At 39.8% G+C, this 3,724-nt stretch overlaps 1 annotated feature.

The window, feature by feature from the left end:
• Nucleotides 1,959-3,158: an enhancer, noted in NCBI's record as "P300/CBP strongly-dependent group 1 enhancer chr17:68859717-68860916 (GRCh37/hg19 assembly coordinates)". NCBI's record gives its function as "activates an origin of replication core promoter dependent on BRD2, BRD4, P300/CBP, MED14 and CDK7 cofactors, with strong dependence on P300/CBP, by STARR-seq in HCT116 cells {active_cell/tissue: HCT116}" and the evidence as "EXISTENCE:reporter gene assay evidence [ECO:0000049][PMID:35650434]".

Genomic DNA, 3,724 nt, shown 5'->3' on the forward strand with positions numbered 1-3,724 from the left:
GCAGAGTCACAGGGGCAGAGCTGCCCAAGGCCATGGGAGCCCACCCTTTGCATCATTGTGCCCTGGATGTGAGACACGGAGTCAAAGGAGATGATTTTGGAGCTTTAAGAAATGCCTTGCTAGGTTTTGGACTTGCATGGGGTCCGTGGCCCCTTTGTTTTGGCCAATTTCTCCCATTTGGAATGGGAACATTTACCTAATACCTGTACCCCCATTGTATCTTGGAAGTAACTAGCTTGCTTTTGATTTTACAGGATCCTAGGCAGAAGGGACTTGCTTTGTCTCAGATGAAACTTTGGACTTGGTCTTTGGGTTAATGCTAGAATGAGTTGAGACTTTGGGGGACCGTTGTGAAGGCATGATTTTGTTTTGAAATGCAAGAAGAACATGAGATTTGGGAGGGGCTGGGGTGAAAGAATATGGTTTTACCTCGTGCCCCCTCCCAAATCTCATCTCTAATTGCAATCCCCATGTGTGGAGGGAGAGATGTGGTGGGAGGTGATTCGATCATGGGAGCAGTTTCCCTCATTCTCCTCTCATGATAGTGAGGGAATTCTCACAAGAACTGATGGTTTTAAAGTGTGGCACTTCCTCTTTGCTCCTTCTCTCTTTCTCTCCTGCTGCCGTGTGAGATGTACCTTTCCTCCCCTTTGCTTTCCACCATGATTGTAAGTTTCCTGAGGCCTCCCCAGCTAAGTGGAGCTGTGAGTTAATGAAACCTCTTTTGTTTACAAATTACTCAGTCTCAAGTAGCATCTTTATAGCAGTATGAGAATGGACTAATATACCTTATGTCACAGAAGTTGTAAATGTATCAGCCTGGACAGACTAAAGCCGGAGCCTTCCCACTTAAATACAACATGAAAATGCCAATTCAGCATTCTTTTCACAAACATTTACTAGGTAGTGAATATGTGCCAAGCACTATAGTAGGCACCCAAAATGTGAAGATGATTATGGTGTATTTCAAAATCTAATGTAGAAAATAACATCTTGGCAGTCACACAGCTCCAAAGTGGATACCAAGTATTTCTCTACTCCCACCTCTCCAGCACCTCCTCTTCCTTATAATGCTTCTGTCATTACAAAACTCTACTCTGACCATAGGGAGTGAGGGGAGGAACGTAACTATGCAAATCATGATAGAACATGAAACACAGCAATATGTTAACTCAGTTGTGTAAACCATGAAGCCTAAATCTCAATAGGGTTTATCCTGTGATAGTAGGAAGATCTCATCTTTTATACCCAGTTATAAATTTTAAACTTTAGGAACAAAGACAAGGAATAAGCCCCTATCCCGAGAGTTTAATAACTTACAGCCTTCTAATAAAGCTGTATTGCTTGTGATGTCAACAGTGAATTATCTGAACAGAGGCTTGTTAAACAGCATTGTGAAAAGTGTGCATAACTTTGCCAGGTATATACCATCACAGGATGGAAGGAGAAATCCACACAGAAATAAAAAGACCTGATTTTCTTAATGCATAAATTTATACTCAAGTGGGTGGCAACAAGAGTCTTACTAATTTTAAGTAAGATAGTAACATGTTCAAAGACATGGAACAGCACTTAGGCAGCAGGATGGAATGGAGGCATAGATGGGTAGAGGTTTGGGCATAGTGTGAATTTGTTTAGGAACAAATTCACAATGGCTCATGCAAGAGATTTGCCCTGTGGCAGTGATAATCTAATGAATATAAGGAGATATATCTTTTAAAAAATAGCTAATATTTACTCTGTGTTAAATGTGTTATTACTAAAATTCCTTCCATTTTTTTAAAGAAAGAATAGATGAGATTTATGGTCTCTTGTAAAGCTTTCTCTGAACACATTTAGGTTTTGTTTTGTTTTGTTTTGAACACGATTTTATTCTCCAAGTTCTCAGCCAGCCAAATCGTGCTTTGTCTTCTTGTTTTGGTATAATGCCTGAACAAGGCCTTACAAAATAGCTTCCTGTCTGGCTTGTTTGAAACATACCTCTTTACTATCTCTGAGCTGAGCTGTGAGGAGGATGTGAAGTCCGCAAGTATAAGGTGAAAATAAATAACCATCCAGTTCAAACAAACCACTTGCCTCAGTCAGTAGTTCTGGCCCACATTCATTTGTACCCAACAAAGTCCCTCAGCTATCTTATTATCACATTTCTTTAAGGTTAACCCCTCAAAGATGATCTTGTTTTGAAGTTCTAAACATCGCGCCGCATGCAAAATGACTCAGGTATTATCATATATTGATGATTCATGATGTTCTTCTGGAAAATGAAAACTTAGTCATCTAATCAATAAAATCATTTTAAGTCTTTGAACTGGTTCCAGGTCAATTTTTCTTGGCAGTTTTTTGGCTTCCTGAATTATACTGACCCAAACCATGAATAATGATCTAAAATTGCACAATATACAAAAACCATCTGTTTGATAGGAACAAGAGGGTGATGTCATGGGGCCACTTCTTATCTCAATTTTATGTCCTGCCAGTGCTGATGTCACTGGCTTGGCAACACATTGGCAGAGTCCAACTTGTTAAAGATGAGTACGTTCAAGAAGGAAATTGTATCACTGCGTGGAGAGGGACTTCTTATGTTTTCTGGATTGGAGATGGACTAACAAGAAATGGCAAGAGCTGACAATAAAATGGCTAGTATATATTTCACTGCAGTGATTAACGTATTATAGTTGACAAATATAGTGTCTCTTCCTCATTTGCATTTTCCAAGGAACAAAGTCCTTCATCTTCTAAAAAGGAAAATGTTGCAGAACTTTTCACAGGAGTAAAATATAGTTGCACCACAAGAAGATGGTAGGGAGTAGTCTTAATGTTTGTGTCCAGAAGAAAACTGGGGCATCGCACTGAATGTGTCTGTAAGATAGATTAACACTGTATCAACTACAAAGTTATTGATATATATGTAAGTGTTGTATGTAGGAACCGTGAGGTAATTGTCCATCTATGCTCAACCCTGGCAGGTTTATCCATTTTTGGGTCCAGCTACTACCACCACCACCACAGAATGATATGGAGAATTTTGAGAGGATTGAGAGAAATACAACAAAAATGATTGAAGAGTTAGATTGTCATTTCTCGGTAAAAACGTTAAGAAACTTGAGGTGTTTGTTGTTGACAGATGGATAGTAAAGATATGAAGGGCACAGACTATAGGATTCCTTGCTGCAAGGACTATTGCTTATACACCCCCTACTGCTGAAGCTTTAAGGAGTTATCGGCCGGGCGTGGTGGCTCACGCCTGTAATCCCAGCATTTTGGGAGGCCGAGGCGGGTGAATCACAAGGTCAGGAGATCAAGACCATCCTGGCTAACACGGTGAAACCCTGTCTCTACTAAAAATACAAAAAAATGTTAGCTGGGCATGGTGGCAGGCACCTGTAGTCCCAGCTACTCAGGAGGCTGAGGCAGGAGAATGGCATGAACCTCGGAAGCAGAGCTTGCAGTGAGCCGAGATCGCACCACTGCACTCCAGCCTGGGCAATAGAGCAAGACAGTCAAAAAAAAAAAAAAAAAAAAAAAAAAAAGGAGTTATCATAGAAAGCAATAGTTAATTACCTTCTCTTCTCTTTTAATGGTATAATTTTTGTCTGAATTACCAATGTACAGAAAATTGAGTTTTCTATTTAAAACTGTGTCAGAGTTCTCAATTTTCAAATCAAATCGAGTGAATGAAGTTCAACCCACTTATGATTTGAAGGCTTCTGTAATGAGTTTTTGA

The sequence above is a fragment of the Homo sapiens genome, chromosome 17 (genome assembly GCF_000001405.40).
Source record: "Homo sapiens chromosome 17, GRCh38.p14 Primary Assembly".
Taxonomy (NCBI): Eukaryota; Metazoa; Chordata; class Mammalia; order Primates; family Hominidae; genus Homo; species Homo sapiens.